Source organism: Homo sapiens, chromosome Y, assembly GCF_000001405.40.
Source record: "Homo sapiens chromosome Y, GRCh38.p14 Primary Assembly".
In the NCBI taxonomy this organism is placed as follows: Eukaryota; Metazoa; Chordata; class Mammalia; order Primates; family Hominidae; genus Homo; species Homo sapiens.
This window is the reverse complement of record NC_000024.10, coordinates 9,360,594-9,383,303: the sequence shown is the minus strand read 5'-3', so window position 1 is coordinate 9,383,303 and position 22,710 is coordinate 9,360,594. Positions and strand designations below refer to the sequence as shown.

General features: G+C 46.4%; 1 long non-coding RNA gene and 1 pseudogene across 1 annotated transcript; one reads left to right on the top strand and one right to left on the bottom strand.

Annotated features, from left to right (window-relative positions):
* TSPY7P (testis specific protein Y-linked 7, pseudogene) lies at positions 2,433–5,228 on the bottom strand (annotated as a pseudogene).
* On the top strand, positions 7,842–13,447 carry FAM197Y7 (family with sequence similarity 197 Y-linked member 7). The gene is made up of 4 exons (NR_145460.2): positions 7,842–7,943; positions 8,030–8,175; positions 9,680–9,838; positions 13,388–13,447. It is a non-coding gene; the product is annotated as a family with sequence similarity 197 Y-linked member 7 (long non-coding RNA).
* Positions 13,448–22,710: the final 9,263 nt, after the last annotated feature.

Below are 22,710 nucleotides of genomic sequence, written 5' to 3'. Positions count from 1 at the left end.
AGAGTGTGGTGGGGAAGCAAGGGAAGGATGAAAGGAGGGGTGTAAAGGAAGGAAAAGAAAAAAGGAAGGGAGAGAGAGTGACAGATGTTCAAAGACACAGATACAAAGTCTACAATGGTTGTAGAGATAGGCATGTGCAAATTGCCGCAGGGAGTGTGGAAAAATATCGGAACCACGGAGACATAGGTGGAGTCAGAGAAAATATACAAACCCGCACAGAGAAATAAACATACGCAACCACAAACACACACGTGCTACTTTAAACACGAAAAGACACCAAGTCCCTGTCGGTACAAATCACAGATGTGCTTCCGAGTTACTGAGGCACGGTGCAAATTTGTCAGTGCCCTTAGCATCTGTGGCCCACGTGTACGGATATTCAGTGGAAGAAGCATTACACAGCCTGTATAATTCAGCACGATCTGTGATAATACCAGAAGAAGGGATCTCATGTGAAATCACTAGACTGAATTGCACGTAGGATTCAAGGAAGAAGCCCAGTCTGCTGCATCCACTCCGTGGGGTGGCAATATGGCTGAGCCACCAACCCATGGCACGCCCATCCATCGTAGACAGTTCCTGGTTTGCTACCTGCCTTGGAAAAACCTCCTCCCCTACCACCACTTTAAAACAGGCTAGCTCCAAAACTAGCCCTGGCATCTATTTACGGTCATTTTCTTATCTATTTACCTCCTAGAAAAATCATTGCAAGACCCTTTCCTCAACATTTTCCTATGCCTTAAATTTGGGGCAACACGTTTTAAGACGACCTCGTTATAGGCAAGTCCCCAGACGTTTCCTAATCTGAGTTGCCCAGAGTGCACACACCAATCTGTTGCCCCATTGCCGCTATAGGGATACCGTACTGGACCACAGTGTCTTTGACATGCACACAGTAGGATAGAGGGCAGCTTGAGGGGGCCAAAGGGTTCCGACTGTTTTCAGAATAATTTGCTTAGAACACCTGTTTCTCCTGTGTTTGTGGGTCAGGGGGACGGTAGTCAGAGGAGGACAAGACTCCCGCTCCAGAGCTTCAGAGGTCTGCATAGGAGCAGGGACAAAACCGGGCGATAGATTTTCAAAGCTCAACTGCTTTGACACCGAGCAGGAGGGGTAGAATGCATATTGCAGGCACCACAACAGATTCAGGAACTTTGACTGTCAAACCCTCTTCCCTGAAACAACATAGCTCTTCTCACAGAAGCTGTGCTGACCAGAGTCTATACGGGACAGCAATGTTAGCACTCTAGTAGCGTGTGGTCAACATGGATGCTCGTGTTGGAACTGTTTCATCTGGGAACAGGAAAGAAAGTTCTGCCTCCGACACTGAAATCCTCCTGCCCCATCCTTGACAGAGGCAACCCCTTGTCTTGTGCAGACACACGTGTTCCTGGGAAGCAGCCTCCCACTCGCGAATGAAAGCTGTATGTTTTGTCCTCCTGTGTGAGGCTTGCAAAACATATTCCGCAACTATATTCGCTTTACGTTCTAAACCTTAGGCAAACTATGCTGAAGAGGCCACAGAAAATTTAGGGGCCCTGGGCTCCAGATACAATCTGCAGTGCCAATCACGAGGGAGAATAGAGCCTCACTAGACTTTGCAAGAGCACAAAATGCACTCGTACTGTTGTTAGCTACATACGTTATTGGCTCCTCACCTAACACAGAATCTTGGAGAAAAGCTTAAAACAACTAAAGATGTAAACATCAACAAGAGTGTCCATATCCTGGGTCATCAAGTGACAAGAGAGTCCATGGATGGATTCTCCAACAATCTTATATTCCACTAATCCACCCCCTTTCCCCTCACTTCTGTAAGTTTCTGTTTTCCCTTAGTCATCTATGCCAAAAGCGTATCCTGAATGCCTTCCCACATGCCTCTGTCACCTTTCCCACAGTCCCTCCATACACCTTACATGCCCATTTCTTCTCACGTTGATGTTTCAGAAGTCCTGAGAGGCTGATTGTCCCAGAAAAGGATCATGCATTCACCTTTAAAAGAACATGTGGATTCAACACGAAAGCGAACTTTAAGATTTCCATCATCCTGTGCTTAGCTACTGTGTATGATGATACCCAAAATGAAGGATTTTGGAGGTCCCAGCAAACTGGGCCCTGGAAACCCAGTAACCCCTTTCCTTGAACTATCTCTGCTTCCACAGGACGAAGTCAGCCTCCAACTAAGCTGTCTTTTGCTTTTACCTCTCCCACTCTGTCCTGTAGGAAGAATCCCAACACATCCCACACCCATTCACTCTACAACTTTAGAGGCCCAGCTCCAACGCAGACTGGTTATTTCCATGAAGAGAATAAAGCACGTGGATTGATCAATTCATTATGACACCCGAATAAAGTGGATAAACATACACACACACACACACACACACACAAACACAAAGACACACACACACACACAGACACAGAGTCACACATCCTTGAGAATGTTTATTTTTCATTCCATACAATCCACATTTACCCCCTCTTCCTGAATTTTTGTGACTCGATCTCTTTTTCCTTTAGTTCCTGTGCATAAGACCATGCTGAGTACTGCCGTCCTGCATATGGCTGTAACTTTTTAGGAGTTCTGCTGTATTAGGTAAAATCTGATGCTCCATCATATTCAACTCAACAACTGGGAGTCCCCTAGAGAAACACAAACTCATGTTAAAACGCATTTTCTCTGAGCCATACTTTGAAATGTTTCAATTGTGGGGCCCGCTGAGAAAAGGATATCCCTTCCCCATTTGTGATCCCTTAAACTTCCTCCTACCACGTGTTACAAACTGTTCTGCGCAATCCCTGCCCCATTCCCAGTATTGTCTGTGAGGGGAGTCAGCTAACAAGATGCACTGGGCCCTAAAAGCACACACAAGTCTGATGGGGCAACAGCTTAAGGAAATCCATCAATCTAAACAGTCCTTTGTGGTTTGGGGCAAGGATGACCAGGACGCACATTCAGGGAGCCCAATCTCATGGGGTTGGCGGGATGACTGCCGGTGGGGTTGACAGCCGTGGAATCAAGTGCCACAGACTGAACTGAATGATTTTCAGCTTTACTTCTCATTGATTCTGGAAATGGACGATTCTTCACTGGGCTTAAGACTCCACAGCTATCACCCGCTTTGCAGTGCAGTCTCTAACGTGCCTTTTCAGCCCAATGCCATGAACGTCCTGGATTCTGTCACTCTCTGTCTTCCTCTCAAGGAATTTCTACATGTACGAAAGGAGCCTCAATTTCTACATTTCTGAAATGAGCACCCAGGCTCCCTGAATAGGCAGGTGTGTCAACCCCCTTATACTGGGCATCAAACAGCTCCAGTGCCAACTAACGGCTCACCTGACGTCTCTGTTCCCTCTTCAGGTGGCTTCATCCTCTTGTAGTATTGCAGGGGATTGCGCCACAGGTCCTTACATAGGATCTGTCAGGGGACTCAATCGGGAAAGGCCTCATCAGGGCTCAGAAAGGTGACCCAAGCAGCTGGGAACACACGGGGTCATTCCTCATGTTTCCCAGTGAGGACTCACCTCAGCAATCTTGTTAGATCCTGCGAAGTTGTGGTCAGAGAACCAGTTGAAGAAGTTAAGGCTGCTGTTGTGGTGTCTGCGGCGATAGGCCTCCACTTCATAATCCGGATACCACTCAATTGGAGTGGAATGAGAAGCCCTGTATTCTACAGAGACAGGAGTTTTTGTGGGAAGGGGGCTGGATCCCGTTGGCAATGATCCACCCACCATCTTCCTTCCACTACCCATCCTGGGAGCCACCTGTCACCTGTGATGTTCACCAGATATTCCTTGGTAATCACTTTATTCTGGAAGTAGGGGTTACTCCGAAAGAACAACATGATCTTGCAGAGATGAACAGGATGCTTCTCTTCTTCCACCTGTCAGGACAAGGTGGAGAAAGCTTAGATAGGTTTTCGGGTGAGGTGCTCACTCTTGCTTACAGGAATGAATTATTTCCCTTACCCTCCCCCGCTAAACCCTCTAGCCCCAGTCTTCCTGGCCTCACCTCCAGGCTGACCATGTAGCTCAGCATGTCTTCATCTTCGTCAGTGATCAGGGCTGACATCTGGGGGTGGTTTGCAATCTGATTTAGGTCAAAGAGACTTTACACACGATGGAAGGGAAAGCGAGGAGCAACAGGGAAGAAGGCCTAAGAGCACCCAGAGGCTGGGGTAGGGGATTTCTCAGATCTGCTTCCATGTATGATCTCCTTTCGCCTCCCCCTCCCCGTAAACTAAGGCCTCCTGTGTTCACAGAGGGTGTATGATTCTGAGGCTGACTGCACTGACATGGGGAGGCGCGATTTGCAGAGACTTGCTGGTGTCTGAGGAGTGGCAGAATCTGCTTATAGCCGAAGACGCCCAGTCCCAGATCGGACTAGCAAGGGGCAGCAATCACACTCCCTTAAAAATAGCTTTATTCACTGAAAAACCTCTTCCGCTCTGAACTCGCTTCTGCTCTTCAAAAAGATGCCCCAAACGTCTGCTGCTCGGCATCACCAAGGGTTTCTCTGCCGCATGCAGGACAATAGTACCCACGCCTGCTCCGGCTTTCCACAGCCACACTGGTCCGTGGCAACTCCCCTTTGTTCCCCAAAGAGTCACATCGACGCCGAGCTGCCCATCGGTCACTTACACTTCCCCGAGAGCACCTCTCCACTAGAAAGGCCGAAGAAACACTGAGAAGGATACAACATTGGCCCAGAAGCCAGGGACGCTCTGGATGACGGCGCCTCTGCGGTCTAGGTGGGGCTTGCGCTCCGCTCCATCTTTTCCCGCTGCCGAGAAAAGGCCTTCCTGGCTTGGGCATTAACCGGCTCCAGCTCCACCTGAACGGCCAGCAGCTCCTCCAGTGCAGACTCTGGGGTCATGGGCCCAGGGCCAGGCACAGCCTGCTGTGCCCGCTGGGCCTCCTCCCGCCGCTCCACGAGGCCCTCCTCCTCCGCCACCACCTCCACCTCCGCCATTATGTCATCCAACAGCAGCACCGCCTCCTCCCCCAAAGCCGCCTGCTCACTCTCCACCCCGGCCGCCCCCTCCTGCACAGCCTCCATCCTGAAGGCGGTGCCCTCCTTGGCACTCGCACACACCAAGGCCTGTGCTGCCCGACCCACGCCACAGAAACCCTGCCGCAGCCTCTCTGGCACCCGGTAGGTCAGCGAGCCCTCAGGGCGCATGCGCCGGGCTTCCAGGCGCCCCCTAAGGGACTGCGCGCGAAGGGCCGGGGGGCCGCACCCAGGCCGACTTCCTCCCGTCGTGGCCAGTCAATGGGAGGGCGGTGGGCGTCTCCCTGGGCGGCACAGCCACTGGCGGGCCTGCATCTCCAGCCCCCCCACCCCCCCGCCTTCCCTGCCCAAGCCTCCTCCGAGAAGCCCTTGGAGCTTGTGCCGGGTAGCTAGGCATCCGGGCACACGCGGGCTGCGTGGCCTTTGGAATTGTGGGCATGGCAGCCCTGTGCCCTGACATCCTCAGTGTGGCAAGCCATGAACATCTCTATGTGTCATGAACACAGGAAACATCTCTCTTCGTTAGGCAGGCCAGGTAGATGGTACGGAGGTAATACAGAAGATGCAGAGAACTCTCTCTGGTTGCTGGGGCTAGGGCGGCAGGGGTGTCCTGGGGGAAGTGATCGGGGCGGGCACGTGGGAGGAAAGTCGCCTGCCGGTGCTGAGGTGGAATTGATCTGCTGTAGAGGCCAGAGCCCCGGCACACACTCTCACAGGTCGAGGCAAATAGAGGCTCCGAGTACCATGCTTCCTCCCTGAGGATGCTGTACTCCAAGGAGCATTCCAAAGGGCCTCTTGTCCTATGCCCTGGGCACACCAGAGGCCAGCCGCCAGGGTTGGCCATTGTCGGCCTGCACACACGCTGTTGTGCGCTGCCTTGACGACCCAGAGGCTCCCGCACCCGCAGCAGCGGTTGCGGTGCCTGTTGGTGGGGCTCTGCAAGCCCAGGGCCGGGGCCTCTGGCTCCCGAGCTCCTGTGCGCAGTTGAGCCTGCTGGGGACCGGAGCCCTTTGGCCAGTGCGGGATCTGCGGGTCCAGCGGAGCTCCTCAGGAAACCTGGGTCCACGTAGGTGTGGGACCAGGTTCACAGCAGGGCGACGCCCGTGGGTCTTGCAGGGAGCGGGTCTGCTGGGGAGCGGGCCCCCAGAGCCTACGGGTGCGGGGCATGGGCTGGGCTGGGCTGGGCTGCGCAGGCCCAGGGTCTGTGGGAGCACCCAGGAGAAAACCGTGTTCAGGCTGGAGGCAATGCTGGAGAGGACGGCCGGGGTACAGAGCAAGGAGGCGGCCTTGGAAGAGGAGGCGGTGCTGAAGGTGGAAGACATCATGGCTGAGGTGGAGGTGGTGGTTGAGGTGGAGCCCGACGTGGGGTGGCAGAAGGAGGGCCAGCGGGCACAGCCTGGCCCTGGACCGAGCACACCGGGGCCGTCAATGGACTCACTGGAGGTCCTTCACTTGGAGCTGGGCTCCGTGAATGCCCCAGGCCACAGAGCATCTCCGCCTTGTGAGCCAGAGCCATATCCTTGCGGCTGCCGATTTGGGATGGCGGGCAGCAGGGGATAGTCATCGGGCCTCGGGGGGTATGGGGGCTGTTTGGGGGGAGGAGCCAGGTGGGAGGCACGTGGGGTCAGCCAGGAGGCAGGGGATGGGGCACAGCGTGGGAGCCGAGGCCACGTTCCCGCAGCTGTGAGGGCAGCTCGCTTGTAGCAGCCCTGGGAGCACGTGGTAGGGAAGGGGAGCCAGGGCCAGCACTGACAAGGGAGAATCGCGGCGCCAAGGTCCCTTTGCGCACAGCCCAAATTCGAAGGACGCGTTTCCCTGGGAACGTCCCTGGAGGACGGGGAATCTGTATGCCATTACCAGCCATTGAACCACCCCTGCTCTCGGTGCCTGTTTCCAGCAGGCTCACCCCAGAAACACAAGGTGCTTAAGACGGGTTCGCGGCGCATGGGGCTGCCGACCACCTGACGGCGGGCACCAGCTCCGCAGATGCGCATTCATCCAACTGCAGGCGCTGCACTCAAAGGCGTGTAGGCCCTGAGCCTGTATAACTTCCTCTGGACCCACGCAATTCCCTTGGAGAGCGCCAGGCACGACCCTGCTGTGGCTTCTAACTACAAGGCTTCCCTCAGGTGGACAGGCCCACCCCTCAGGGAGACTAGGATAAGAGGACACCACACACCCGGACATCAGCGGAGCATGTCCAGCACCCAGCACACAAAGGCCTCCTGCATCTCAGAAACTCAGAGAAGCAGCCGCCTCACACCACCCCCGGTCCCTCCCGTCCCTCAGCTGCAACCACCTGCCCACTTTTTCTGCCTCCCGTCTCTGGTCAGCCCAGGCCGTCTTGGCCGGGGTCCACCCACTCCAAAAACCACCACAGTTGTGGCGTTGCCTCCTCGCCAGACAGAGATAGAGGGCCAACAATGAAGGGTGACTGGCCAAATGTCTGGGAGATGGCCCTGTTCCACATTGTCTGTGTTCTTGCGAAATTGCAAGGCGTCACGAGGCTTGCCCACCCAATCCTCTGGAGAGTTCTTGCGCAGAGGTAGATTGTTTGGCACACGAGATGTCGGCGTGGGTCGGAAAGCATGCGGAAGTCCTGCTTTGCTACGTGATGGATTTGCAGGTCAGGCTGGGGAGCCTGGGTCTGTGGGAGGAGTCCAGTGTCTGAGTCAGTTTGAGGTCCCCCTGGGGACCAGGGTTGTCTCAGTGGGAGAGCTGGGAAGGGGAAACTCATGGTTCACTACAGCTAGTAGGCCACCTCAGCCCGGCTAGTTGAGATGGTCCCATTGAATCCATCCTCTTTCTCCTTGATCCGGCAGGTGGAGGAACTCAGCCATCCCGGTTACCGGTGGCAGGATGATTTCCTTTCATCCCAACCTTTATTTCCACAGTGAAATCATCATGAAGGAGCACTGTGTTGGCATCCTCGGTAAGGAATGCCTCCCAGCATGGTAGGGGAGCTGGTGTGTGGGAGGGTGGGACTGGCATGAACCTTCCTGACTCCTCTCCCTGCAGGCTACAGGGTGTCTCATTCCACTGCAGTCCAGCGGTTCTGGGATCACGAAGGTCAAGCCTCCAGCTGCAGGCAGTACACCTCCTACCTGAGCTCATTCAGCTGTTTGGCTGAACATGACTGCCCGGGTTTTGGCAGGATTGCTGAGGTGGGGTTCGCCGTGGGGCATCATGGGAAAGGACCTAGCTGGTCATTCCTTGGTCTCTGGGGAATTGGCTTTGAACTGTCACCTGAACTGTCCTGGACCCACTTCTGCAGTCCCCTAGATCATCAGCCAGGGCCTATGGCTCAATCCATTGCAGTTCTATCCCATGGAGAGAGGGTCAGCCCTAGAGGCGGAACAGAGAGGAGGCCAGGCGAGCAGCCTAGGGCTGGGAAGGGCTGGGAACTGAGAGGCCTTTTGACCTGGATCTGGGCCCCACATGGAGAACCCAAGGATCCGGGAGGAGACTGCAGTGAGCAATCCCAGGCAATCCGTGGGTTGGGGGAGAGAGGCCCATCAGGGACATGTAACACCCACATTTCAGGATCGGGGCACCTTAAGCCACTATGATGCATATGTGGCTAAAGTCAGTGGGTGACAAGCAGGGCTTAAGGGATAGCTGTCTCATCATTACTCGCCAGCTCCCTGCCCTGCGGTAAGACCTGCTACCACCTGGGGCTCATTTTGAGATCAACCAGGGCCCCCTTTTTCTCCACGAGGATGTCCACCTGAGGCCCACCTAGGTCTGTGTCCTTTCACAGTGTTTCTCCCAGGCCAGTCATGTTTTGTTTCCATGACCCCGGCTGCCTTGACATGTGTAATCCTCTCTGCCATCCTCACTCCCGCTGCCCTGCCTTCCCATATAAGTTAGTCCACCTCACACGGAATCTGGAGGACCACACTGGGCTCCAGTGTGAGGCAATGTTTTATTTTCTTCAGGTACATGTATTTTAGGGCTACCTCCAGGGCTGGGAATGTGAAGAGATTGCCAAATGGCTGGGGACCTTCAGTGTGTGTCCAGGGAGGGAACCCGGCTGGGAATTAAGGCCCACCTGAGTAATGGTATGGACATCCAGTGTCAGTTATCTTGATAAAGGCCTGCTTTCTTACATCACCTACTATTAATATAAAAGTTAATTCCTTAGAATATTGAAAAAACAAATCTATGTATGAAGAAATATAATTTGTTCATAATTGTATGGAAAAAGCTGCCGACCGATCCATTTTCCATTACAATTCTTATGGGAGACTTGAAGGGTTTAGCAAGTTTTAAGATGCATTTCTATTCGTCTACTCCTGCCAGTTTTTATGATCATTTTTGTAATACAAGGACATGGCCTCTGGAAAGTTTTTGAGGGACTTTCAGCTTCTTTTAGGGTAGATACTTGTAAATTTTGAATTGTTTTCCCCTGCAGTTCTTTTGAGGTTACTCTTTGTACTTTCTTTGGGGGGTGTTAAATTTGTTTTCTTCTTTTGCCCTTGTGGAACTTTCGTTTTCAAGGAATTGTGTGTGTGTGTGTGTGTGTGTGTGTGTGTGTGTGTGTGTGTGTTAGATATGGGAGTTAGCCTGTGAGCATGTTTTCGAATATGGATTTTTTTTTTACTTATCAATTTTGGGGGTGTGTGTGTGTGTGTGTGTGTGTGTGTGTGTGTGTTTGTTTCTTTTCAGTTGGAGTCTCACTGTGTCATCCAGGCTGCAGTCAAGTGGCAAACTCTCAGATCACTGCAACCTCTCCCTCCAGCTTCAAAGGATTCCTCTGCCTGCTGATGCTGCTTTTCCCCCACATGAGGAGAACATGCAGACAGTTATAAAAAATTCTGTGCCTGGGTAGGTATGAAAATATAATTTCAATGAATGGTAAATTTCACAAATACAGTTTCACATTTGTATTTTGCAACATTTTGAAAATTTTAGTTGCTGACACATGAAATTCTGTGTTGACTTTCATGTTAAATGTACACTTTTGAATCAATTTCAACAGTGACAACTAGCGAAGGCCAAGCGTTAGTTCAGGAAGCTGAAAGCAGTCGTTCTGTAAAAAAAACCATATTTATTGAAGGTATATTTAGAGAGATTTTAGAAGGCTTCAGTCAATATTTTTGTTTCTGTTGCTCTGGTGTTTTATCATACAGGGACCAGACTGTAGCATCAGTAGCTATAGTTACAAGGCTACCAAAGACTCAGTGCTATAGAAATTATTATTGTGGAAATTGGCAGCCTGGCTGTCTGTTTGAGGAGACTAGAGGACTTAGGAGTTTCCACCCAAAGTACAAGGGCCTGGTTTAGTGGGTGGCCTTCTTTTGCTGAAGTAGATAAGATCCAGGAGAAGGGTGGATTCACTGTAGTAGCCAGGGCTTTGAGACTGGTAAAGCTTATTTGTCTCCTAGTGCCATTGCCAGATATTGGTCTGTGCATAAAGGCACTTCCCGGACTCGCTGACTCCTGTAAATTCAAATGTAGAATTTAGATTTAAATCCCTATTCCAACTTCTTAAACTTAGATCTAATAGGTGGGTAATAAAATATGTATTCAGAAGAAAGGGAGACGTCAGGTAGGTATATAAGCAAATCATCCTGGTCAAATACCTTCAAAAATATTACTACAAAAAATTACTGAAGATTAAACCTTAAAAAAGTTATTTTAATTGGAGAAACAGAAAAAGGTTGGAGTCATTTTAAACCCTGAGGTGTAAAGGTACTGTTATTAGATTACAGGAATTATATACAATGAATAATTTGTGGGAAGAGCAGCATACTATCTCTTTAGTATGGCTAGAGATTCATAAGCCGTGTAAGAAAACTCAGAGATTGAGAAGAAAATGTTTTCAGGGATTTTGTTCTGTTATGAAAGACTTTTAAAATGGTTTCCTACTGATCAATGATTCACTTATATTTATCACTGAGGCATATGCTATATACCCTTCTATATAGGGATGAAGTTATAGTTTCTATCATGTAGATACAAAAACATGTGACTCTGTACCACATTTGCATTAGAGCCTTTGGCATGATTAATGAAGCAAACGGTGGAACTGTCTACGTCAGGTTACAGGTGGGCACAGCTGGAAGCTTCCGTCCCTTGCACTTTAACATTTCTGCATTCTCATCTGTCTCTCCTGGAAAGAAAACGGACTATAACTATCCTAAAGGACATATGTTACATGAAGACACTAAGTATTGAGATAAGACCATGAGTTGTCTTATCAGTGTCTTGGCATTACATTTATATGTATAACTTATACAAAAAATCCAGTTTATTTTATCACGATTACATATTACATCCCACATTTATGTATTTTATTATCTTTCCAGTGACTGTTTTGTTTTGTTTTGTTTTGTTTTGTTTTGAAATCTCGTTCCACTCTGTCACTCAGTCTGGAATGCAGTGGCCTGATCTCAGCTCACTGCAACCTCCATCTCTTGGGTTCAAGGATTTTAAAAATTAGTAAAGAATTTTCAATTGAGTTAGCAGAAGTAAAAATAAACTTAAGTGGAAATAGAACAACAAAATTGTAAACACTATTTCTCAGCAATTCATAGATTATCATACTAGGAATTGAAATGTACTTAGAACTCAATGATACCGCCAATATTAAAGATTAAATCTGTGAGTAGCAAGAAAAGTGATATTACAATAGGAGTTTACAGACAAATATTTCTCTAATAACTTGAAAATTAATGTACTAGATATTTCAATAAAGAATTAGAAAAGAAACAACAGAATCAATTCTGAAAAACTAAAGTGTGGGAATAATGATGTAGACAAAATTAGTAAAACATACAAAGCTAACCTTTGCTTGTTGGAGAAATATAATAAATGATGCAACCGTCAGTCAAGTTTAGAAAAAAAGGGAGAAAACATAGATAAAACTAAGAATTTAAAAGGTACACAACCATAGATACAGCATAGATTAAGAAGCTAATAAGGAAATATCATTAACACCTTAACCTACAAATTTGAAAACTTAGATCAAATAGACAGATATTTATAATCTGTCTATATATATAGACATATATATCGCTTTCTATATATATTTTCATATTTATACATAATTTTTATATTTGTATCTTACATTTATATATATAATATATAAACATAAGCTATGTATATAGCTTAGTAAAATTGATACAAGAAGACATATATAATCTGTATAGTCTCATAAATGTTCAAGGAAATAAAGGATTCTTCCTAGAGATAAAACGCTAGGCTCAGATTTTTTTCCCCAGGCAGAGCATTTCAATATATATGAAGAATTCTATAGAATAAAAAAGGGAAAATCCTAAACTCATTGTGTGAAGCAAGCAGAACTTTGACGCCAACAAGCCATAAACTGAGTGTAGAAAAAGATATGAAAATTAAGGCCATTCTCATTCCTGAAGCAAATCGTAAAATCCCAAATGTAACAAGATTTATGTGGATTCTTTGAGGGTTAGAAGGAAATTTCCTTCTGCCAGATCCTGCTACTCTGGGACAACCCACACACAAATTTATGTTTTGAGATTTTCTGTAATACCCATGCAATATGGAACTGGCTTGACAATCTGTGTGATAGCCAGCCTGTGGCCATGACTTCTCAGGGACACAAATCTTTTCTGTTTGCCTCCTTGTTCTGCTCAGCTCCAAGAGAACTTTGACCAAAGTTCCTTGAGCTTGGAAATAGGAATGGGTTTGCTTCTGTTTCACCCTTACTGTGAAGATACAGTCCGGTGGAATCCAGATCCACTGGGAGAGAGTCGGCTATTAAACTCTTTTCATGAGTAGTCCCTAGGCCTTGACTGGAGTCTTTCTTGAGATATGAGGCTAATAGTTCCTTCTTGGTCCACCACTTTTTGATATAATTAATGCTTCTTCTATTGGGAATTTTTAATTGTTTGGGAAGTGACATGGTTTGGTGTGTCTCCATTCAAATCTCAGCTTCAATTGTATCTCCCAGAATTCCCTCGTGTTGCGGGTGGGACCCAGGGGGAGGTAATTGAATCATGGGGGTCGGTCTTTCTCATGCTATTCTTGTGACAGTGAAGAAGTCTCACGGGATCTGATGGGTTTTTCAGGGGTTTCTGCCTCAGGTTCTTCCTCATTCTCTCTTGGCATTGCCATGTAAGAAGTGCCTTTATTCGTATACCATGATTCTGAGGCCTCCACAGCCATGTGGAACTGTCAGTCCAATTAAACCTCCTTTTATTCCCAGTTTCAGGTATCTCTTCTTCAGCAGCGTGAAAATGAACTAAGACAGGAGGTTTGGTCCAAATAACCTTGGCTTCCATGATAGAAGATAGAAGTTGCTGAAATGTTTAATCTTTTCTGTGGCAACCTTTTGCAGTGGGTCTTATTTTTCTCATTTTTTTTTCTTGTTCTCTTCACCTTTGTTTCTCACAGGGTACTCTCGCTCTGTAGACCAGGCTGGAGCGCAGTGGCAGGATCTCAGCTCAACACATCCTCCGCCTCCCAGGTTCAGCCTCTGCAGTAGCTGGGATTACAAGCATGCATCACCACGCTCAGCTAATGTTTTGTATTTTTAGTAGAAGCCAGGCTTCACCATGTTGGCCAGGCTGCTCTCCTACTACAGATCTCAGGTGACCCGCCCGACTCAGCTTCCCAAAATCCAAAGTGCTGGGAATACAGGTGTGAGCCACCGAGCCCAGCCAACTCCAGTATTTTTTACCTAAGCCAGTGGACGAGTGGAGTTGCCTTTATTTTTTTTTTCATGGTCTCGCTGTGTCATCCAGGCTGGAGTGCAGTAGTCTGATCTCGGCTTACTATACAATCTCTGCCACCCATGTTCAGGTGGTTCTCCTACCTCAGCCTCCCAAGTAGCTGGGACCACAGGAAAGTGCCACTAGGTCTGGCTAATTTTTGTATTTTTGGTAGAGACAGCTTTTTGCCATGTTGCCCATGCTAGTCTCCAACTCCTGACCTCAAGTGACCCACCAACCTCGGCCTCCCAAAATGTAGAAATTACAACAAGAGCCACGAAGCCTGGCCTGGAGTTGTGGCTTTTTGACATAAGAAATCTGTGGAGGGAAAAGCTTGGTTTGTGGGAGCACCTGAGCTCAGTTTGGCTCAAAGGTTTGGGATACCTATTATTGAGTGGCAGTGATGGTATGTTGTTAATGTACAATATCTTCCTGTATATAGCATACGTCTATGCTCATCAGATATTTTCAGGTAAAAAAAGATAGTCTTTCCAGTAGTTTGAGCCATTATAGCAATTTCCACCAGGGGATTTCAAAGTCCAATTCCAGTTGTGGGCAACAGTGATTAACATAATGGTAATTAATGAGAAGAGATTTTGAGACGTCCAGCCACGTTTCCATGTCAGTGCCTTGTTTGCAGTATTATGAAGAAAGAGTGCATTGGACTAGATACTAAGAAAAACATTGAATTATTTTTCTTGCCTCTATAACATCAAAGGACAATTAGAGATATAGAAACTATGGAACATTTCACAGCATGGCTTGACATTTCACTGAACTTTTATCCTTTTAACCATGTACAAAGTTTGTTACCTATGCAAAGGTAGGACTGCAAAAGGAAGACAGAGGTGGAGTCAGAGGTCACAATCCACAGCAAGGTGACACTCTTGTTGATCGCACCTTGAAAGCCAAATTAGAGCGAGAATTAACTTTCCGGTTGCCGTAAGAGAACAAGGAGAATGAAGCTACCAGCAGTTAACAGTATTGGATTAATTGAAATGAAGGTGGACAGAGTTTTTTGGCTTTCCATCAAATTGAGTAAAGAAAAGGTAACCGCTTATCTAATTTCACACACATACAATTATGGATTAATTAAAAGATTACACAACCCATATATTATGGGTTTCTCATTTAAGTGTATATATACATGGGCAAACTCACAGTGTGCCAGTATGTGTCTATATCCAAATATATACAAATCCATGTCCAACAGTTAGCAAGTGAGAAATTCTCTTCCATTTCACCATTCCCTTTCCTAGAATTTTTTCATAAATATAATTTTTCCATATATTTGAAGCCTACTCTCTGGAGGCATGTAATGCATGCATGCAGTAAACCTGTGCGATATCACAATGTTGGTGTCAGAGAAAACTATAACACCGATGTTATAAAAGATTAATTGTGAGGAGAAAGTTATGCTTCGCATTACTACAAATACACAAGTATGATTTCATCCAAAGCTGAAATCAGTCAATATAATTTGTTTTTAATGTTTTATTTAAAATCCTTAATTTCAACAGGATTACTCAAGAAAAATAACGTTATTGGTATTAAATAATGTTGATGTATTCCCTTTAATTGTTGATTATTTAAAATGTCAGTAAAATAGTAAATGGCACTGTACAATGTAGTTTCATGAAGCATTCTTTATAGTTTTCATAAAATTGATAGTCTCCATGGAATATTTTAAGACTGAGGAAGTTCCATATATCATTTGATTGTACTTTCACTTTATTACTTGCTTGCATGTCATAACTGATGGAAATAAAACTATGTATATTTACAAATATGAAAAACATGGACTTTTGTTTACGTTTTCTAGTGAGACACAGTTACCAATAATTTTATCTATATAGGAAAATTTTTACAAACCCAAAGTTCTAATGTTTCTTTTCTTTGAAGTTTCGTATTTCAGTCTAGGTATGTAATGGAATTGGCTGTGATCATTCTTTGATTTCACTGTTATTTGTGAGTTTCTGATATGCTTTTAGGAATGTATAGAGCTTAACGCTTGCTTTCTTCTTCTTCCTCTACCTTTGGACCTGTATATGCGACGTCTGCAGTAATGTGCAGTGCTATCTGACATACGGTTGCTGAAAGATACAAGCATATATAGAATTCTTCGTTTCAGTGAATCTTTAGGAACAGACAAGTAACCTGAGAGATAATTACGGTATGAATGTAAGCAAGCAGTTTATCATAGAGGTACAATAAGGGTGAAAATAAATTTAAAAATACATGCCTCATCCAAAACATGAGGTAGTAAAAATGAAAAATTTAAGTTGGCATAAAGAACACTTTAAAAGTTCTGATTCTTTCTGGTGAGAGCAAGGAGCTCAGAAACCATGAGAAAGTCCTTCAAAGCTGCATGTTGGATTTGCAGGTCAGGATGGAAAGCCTGGGTCTGGGGGAGGGTGCTAAGGTCCTGGTCAGGTTGAGGTCCTTCTGGGGCTCAGGTGTGTCTCAGCGGGAAAGCTGGGAAGGGGAAACGCATGCTTCACCCCGGCTAGAATGCCACCTCAGCCCACCTAGATGAAATTGCCCCTTCACAGCCCTGTTTCTCCTTCTTGGACAGGCAGGTGGAGGAACTCGGCCACCCTGAATACAAGGGGTAGGAAGAAGTTTGCCTTTCATCACAACATTTACTTCGGAAACAAAGTGATGACTAAGGAGTATTGCGTTGGCATCCTCCCTGAGGAGTAGAGGGGGTAGTACCTCGGGAGCTGGGCCTGGCGTGCGCCTTCCTGACTCGTCTCCCTCCAGGATACAGGGCGACTGGCTCCACTGCAGTCCAGTGGTTCTAGGGTCATGCAGGTGAAAGCCCGAGTTTCCCGCAGGTCACTGCCTGAGCTTCTTCAGCTGGTTGTCTGACTGTGAGGGCCCAGGTTACGGCACGATTGCTGAGGTGGGGCAGCTATGGGGCATCATGGCAAAGGACCTTCTTCGACATTCCTTGGCATCGGAGGAATTGGCTTTGAACCAGAACCTGACCTGTCACGACCAATTTGCCCAGTCCACCAGATCATCAGCCAGGGCCTGTGGCTCTATATTCTGCAGCACTACCCAAGGGAGTTAGGCCCTCAGAGAGGGAAGAGAGAAGAGGCCAGGGAAGCAGCCCAGGGCTGGGGGTTGACAGGCCTGTGGGTCCTGGAGTTAGGACACACATAGAGAAGCCAAGGCTCAGGGAGGAGACTGCAGTAAGGAAACTCAGGCCATCATGGGCTGGTGGAGAAATGCCCATCAGGGAACTGTGGTACCCACATTTCACGATGGGGGAACCGTAATCTGCTTAATAGGCACAAGTAGCTAAGGTCAATGGGTGGGAAGCCAGGGTCAAGAGATAGCTGCCTCATCATCCCTTGCTAGCTACTTCCCTGTCCTGAGGCTTGCTTCTACCTGGGGTTCAGTTTGGGCTCAACCAGGGATCTCTCACCCTCCACACAGATGCCCACCTGAGGCCTCTCTAGGTCTGCGTCCTCCCAGAATGACTCTCCCAGGCCTGCTAAGTACCGTTTGGATGACACCACGCTCCACTGACATACTTGGTTCCCTCCGCCATCCTCATTCACCCAGCAACTCCCCACCCCAAAAAAGGCAGGCCACCGCACAGGGAATCTGGAGGACCACACAGGGCTCACAGGGGAGGAAATGTGAAGAGATGGCAAAACAGAACAGGACATTCCGTGTGTTTCCAGAAGGCAATCTGGCTGGATATTAAGGCCCACCTCAGTATTGGTGAGGACACCCAGTGTCTCTTGGCCCTGAGCTTGTGCACACAAACACGCACATTGTCTAAACGGCATTGACATCACTACTACCTGAGTCATCCTCAGATTCTATACAACCCCTGTAAAAATATCAATGACACATTCTTCTTAGAAAAACAATCTGGGAATCCCAAATTTGCTATGAAATGGCAGAAGATCCTGAAAACCCAGAGCAATCCAGTAAAAAGCACAAAGCTGGAGCCACCACACTACCTAACTTCATGATATACTACTACAAAACTTTTTGTACCAAAATACAATAGCACTGGCAGAAAAGCAGAGACTAGAGCTTAGGAAAAACAACAGGAGCCCAGAACTAAGTCACTGCATTTGCAGCTCACAGCCTTTTCCCAAAGAAGCAAGAACGCCCAATGCAAAATCAAGTATCTTCTATAAACTAGGTTGGGGAAATCTGAATAGCCACACAAAGGATTTTACAAGTGGATTATTTATCACCAAACTCCAGTGTCAGATGTGAAACGATAAAAATAGCAGAAGAGATCACAAGGAAGAAGCTCCATGGCGTCCGTGTGTGCAATGATGGTCTCAAAGTGACTGCAAGAACACAGTAAACACCATCAAAAATAGAGAATGGAATCATATCAAACTAAAGTGCTTCACCACACCATAGAAAACTCAACATACAGAAGGGGCATCCTACAGGATGGGAGCAATGATTGGATCACCATACATCTGTTCATGGGGGAATAGTCACAGTACATAAGGAACTCCCAACAACTCAATAGCATGAAAACAAATGGGCGAAGGCTGCGAAGACTCATTTGTGAAACTGAGACATACAGTTGCCCAGAAGACACACTAAAAATTCCTCATTATCCCCAATCCATCACGAAAATGCAAATCAAAAACACAATGAGATTTCTTCTCACTTCAGTCAGAATGCATATTATCCGAAAGACAAACAAACAAAAAAAAAAAAGAAAGAAAAGAAAACCCTAATCTCTGGTGAGGAGGCAGAGAAAACGAATTCCCTGCTCACTTTTGGGGAGAATGTAAATTAGTGCTGGCATTAAAGAAGCTTTATGGCTCTTATTTAAGTATAAACAGCCTTCAGAAATCTACAAGTAGAACCACCCACTATATGATCCAGCAAATCAGAATACCCGGGCACGCCCGCCAGTACACAGATCAGTATGTTGAAGCGGTGCGCGCACCCATGCAATTATTGCTGCACTCATTACATTTTTGCTGTAGCCAAAATGCGGAAGCAACCTGAGTGTCCCTCCATTGATAAGTGGATTAAAAAATGGGGCAAAAACGCATATGCGCAACGGAAATATGCGCTGCAATAAGAAATCAGGAAATCCTGCCAGTTGTGAGAATGTGTGGGAATCTGCTGAATGTGTGCATGCCATTCTGTTAAGTGACATAAGCCAGGTATCAGAAAGGAAAATAGCACATGATCTCATTCTTATATGAAATCAAAAAAGCGGACTTCACAGAAGTAGTGACTCCAATGACTGCGGTGAAGAGGGTGCACTGACGAGATGCTGGATGAAGAACTCATACTTCTAGTTATAAAGGAGGAATAGGTTAAAATATTTTCTTCAGCATGCTCACTATAACTAGTGGTAACATATTCTTTCTCTAAAAATATTCGAATACAGTGCAGGTCAAGTTTTTTCACAACAAAAATGACAACTATGTGAGGTCACACATATGTTGATTGGCTGGATGTATCCAATGCATAATGTATATGACCTGTTGAACATCACGCCTTAAGTTGTAAATATGTATCATTTCATATGACATTTTTTAAACAAACATACAATTTTTAAAATGCCTTAACAAAATAAATGCAAATAAAATATTTTATTATAAAGCAGTGCTTTTCTTTTCTAGCAAAGTCTTTTTCATGACACAGGAAAGAATGCAAGCCGTTTCGTAACTTGAGAAATAAATACATATGTGTACATGTATATATATACGTATATACATGTATATACGTATATAAATGTGCATATATACGTATATACATGTATATACGTATATATGTGTGTACATAGGTATTCTTATATAGGTGTATATATATATGAAAATCCCAATGAATGCTGATGATGAGTTGAAAGATAGAAATTCCAGGCACAGAGACTATAGTCCATGAATTGAAACCTTCAGTGCATGTTTCAAAACAAGACGTGAGGAGGAGGAAGAAAAAAGCAAAAAACACAAAGCCATGGCAGGGCCATGGGTCACACCTGTCATCCCAGCACTTTGATAAGCTGAGGTGGGAGGATTGCCTGCACTCAGGAGTTCCAGATGAGCCTGGGGCAACATGGACCCACATTCAAAAAGTAAGTATTTAGTTAATTAATACATAGCTTGGAGGGGTGGCATGCACCTGTACTGCCAGGTGTGTGAGAGTCTGAGTTGACAGGATCACATGGGTGTGTGGTGCCTGGGCTGCAGTGGGCTGAGATCGTGGGGCTGCTGTCCAACCTAGAAGACAGAGTAAGACCCATTCTCGGAAAACAAACAAAAAAAGAGTCACATTAGGTAAATTAAAACTATGTAGTGTGAGGAGAATCAAAATAAACGAAACATCATTAGAGCCTACGCGATGTGATGAAGGAAACCAGCTTTCACATAATAACAGCCCCGGCTGGGGAGAACAATGAGAAAGGGCAGAGAGAACCCTGTAAATAATACCACGCCAAATTCCCCAAATGAGTTAAAACACATAAAAGTACGAAGAGTGCTTCTTTTCAATTCAATGCCCTTGAATTCAGAATTAGAAAGTAAACCCAGATAGAGAATAGAAACATAGACGATACAGATGGAGAGAGTGTGGTGGGGAAGCAAGGGAAGGATGAAAGGGGTGTAAAGGAAGGAAAAGAAAAAAGGAAGGGAGAGAGAGTGACAGATGTTCAAAGACACAGATACAAAGTCTACAATGGTTGTAGAGATAGGCATGTGCAAATTGTCGCAGGGAGTGTGGAAAAATATCGGAACCACGGAGACACAGGTGGAGTCAGAGAAAATATACAAACCCGCACAGAGAAATAAACATACGCAACCACAAACACACACGTGCTACTTTAAACACGAAAAGACACCAAGTCCCTGTCGGTACAAATCACAGATGTGCTTCCGAGTTACTGAGGCACGGTGCAAATTTGTCAGTGCCCTTAGCATCTGTGGCCCACGTGCACGGATATTCAGTGGAAGAAGCATTACACAGCCTGTATAATTCAGCACGATCTGTGATAATACCAGAAGAAGGGATCTCATGTGAAATCACTAGACTGAATTGCACGTAGGATTCAAGGAAGAAGCCCAGTCTGCTGCATTCACTCGGTGGGGTGGCAATATGGCTGAGCCACCAACCCGTGGCACGCCCATCCATCGTAGACAGTTCCTGGTTTGCTACCTGCCTTGGAAAAAGCTCCTCCCCTACCACCACTTTAAAACAGGCTAGCTCCAAAACTAGCCCTGGCATCTATTTACGGTCATTTTCTTATCTATTTACCTCCTAGAAAAATCATTGCAAGACCCTTTCCTCAACATTTTCCTATGCCTTAAATTTGGGGCAACACGTTTTAAGACGACCTCGTTATAGGCAAGTCCCCAGACGTTTCCTAATCTGAGTTGCCCAGAGTGCACACACCAATCTGTTGCCCCATTGCCGCTATAGGGATACCGTACTGGACCACAGTGTCTTTGACATGCACACAGTAGGATAGAGGGCAGCTTGAGGGGGCCAAAGTGTTCCGACTGTTTTCAGAATAATTTGCTTAGAACACCTGTTTCTCCTGTGTTTGTGGGTCAGGGGGACGGTAGTCAGAGGAGGACAAGACTCCCGCTCCAGAGCTTCAGAGGTCTGCATAGGAGCAGGGACAAAACCGGGCGATAGATTTTCAAAGCTCAACTGCTTTGACACCGAGCAGGAGGTGTAGAATGCATATTGCAGGCACCACAACAGATTCAGGAACTTTGACTGTCAAACCCTCTTCCCTGAAACAACATAGCTCTTCTCACAGAAGCTGTGCTGACTGGAGTCTATACGGGACAGCAATGTTAGCACTCTAGTAGCGTGTGGTCAACATGGATGCTCGTGTTGGAACTGTTTCATCTGGGAACAGGAAAGAAAGTTCTGCCTCCGACACTGAAATCCTCCTGCCCCATCCTTGACAGAGGCAACCCCTTGTCTTGTGCAGACACACGTGTTCCTGGGAAGCAGCCTCCCACTCGCGAATGAAAGCTGTATGTTTTGTCCTCCTGTGTGAGGCTTGCAAAACATATTCCGCAACTATATTCACTTTACGTTCTAAACCTTAGGCAAACTATGCTGAAGAGGCCACAGAAAATTTAGGGGCCCTGGGTCCAGATACAATCTGCAGTGCCAATCACGAGGGAGAATAGAGCCTCACTAGACTTTGCAAGAGCACAAAATGCACTCGTACTGTTGTTAGCTACATACGTTATTGGCTCCTCACCTAACACAGAATCTTGGAGAAAAGCTTAAAACAACTAAAGATGTAAACATCAACAAGAGTGTCCATATCCTGGGTCATCAAGTGACAAGAGAGTCCATGGATGGATTCTCCAACAATCTTATATTCCACTAATCCACCCCCTTTCCCCTCACTTCTGTAAGTTTCTGTTTTCCCTTAGTCATCTCTGCCAAAAGCGTATCCTGAATGCCTTCCCACATGCCTCTGTCACCTTTCCCACAGTCCCTCCATACACCTTGCATGCCCATTTCTTCTCACGTTGATGTTTCAGAAGTCCTGAGAGGCTGATTGTCCCAGAAAAGGATCATGCATTCACCTTTAAAAGAACATGTGGATTCAACACGAAAGCGAACTTTAAGATTTCCATCATCCTGTGCTTAGCTACTGTGTATGATGATACCCAAAATGAAGGATTTTGGAGGTCCCAGCAAACTGGGCCCTGGAAACCCAGTAACCCCTTTCCTTGAACTATCTCTGCTTCCACAGGACGAAGTCAGCCTCCAACTAAGCTGTCTTTTGCTTTTACCTCTCCCACTCTGTCCTGTAGGAAGAATCCCAACACATCCCACACCCATTCACTCTACAACTTTAGAGGCCCAGCTCCAACGCAGACTGGTTATTTCCATGAAGAGAATAAAGCACGTGGATTGATCAATTCATTATGACACCCGAATAAAGTGGATAAACATACACACACACACACACACACACACACACACAAACACAAAGACACACACACACACACACAGACACAGAGTCACACA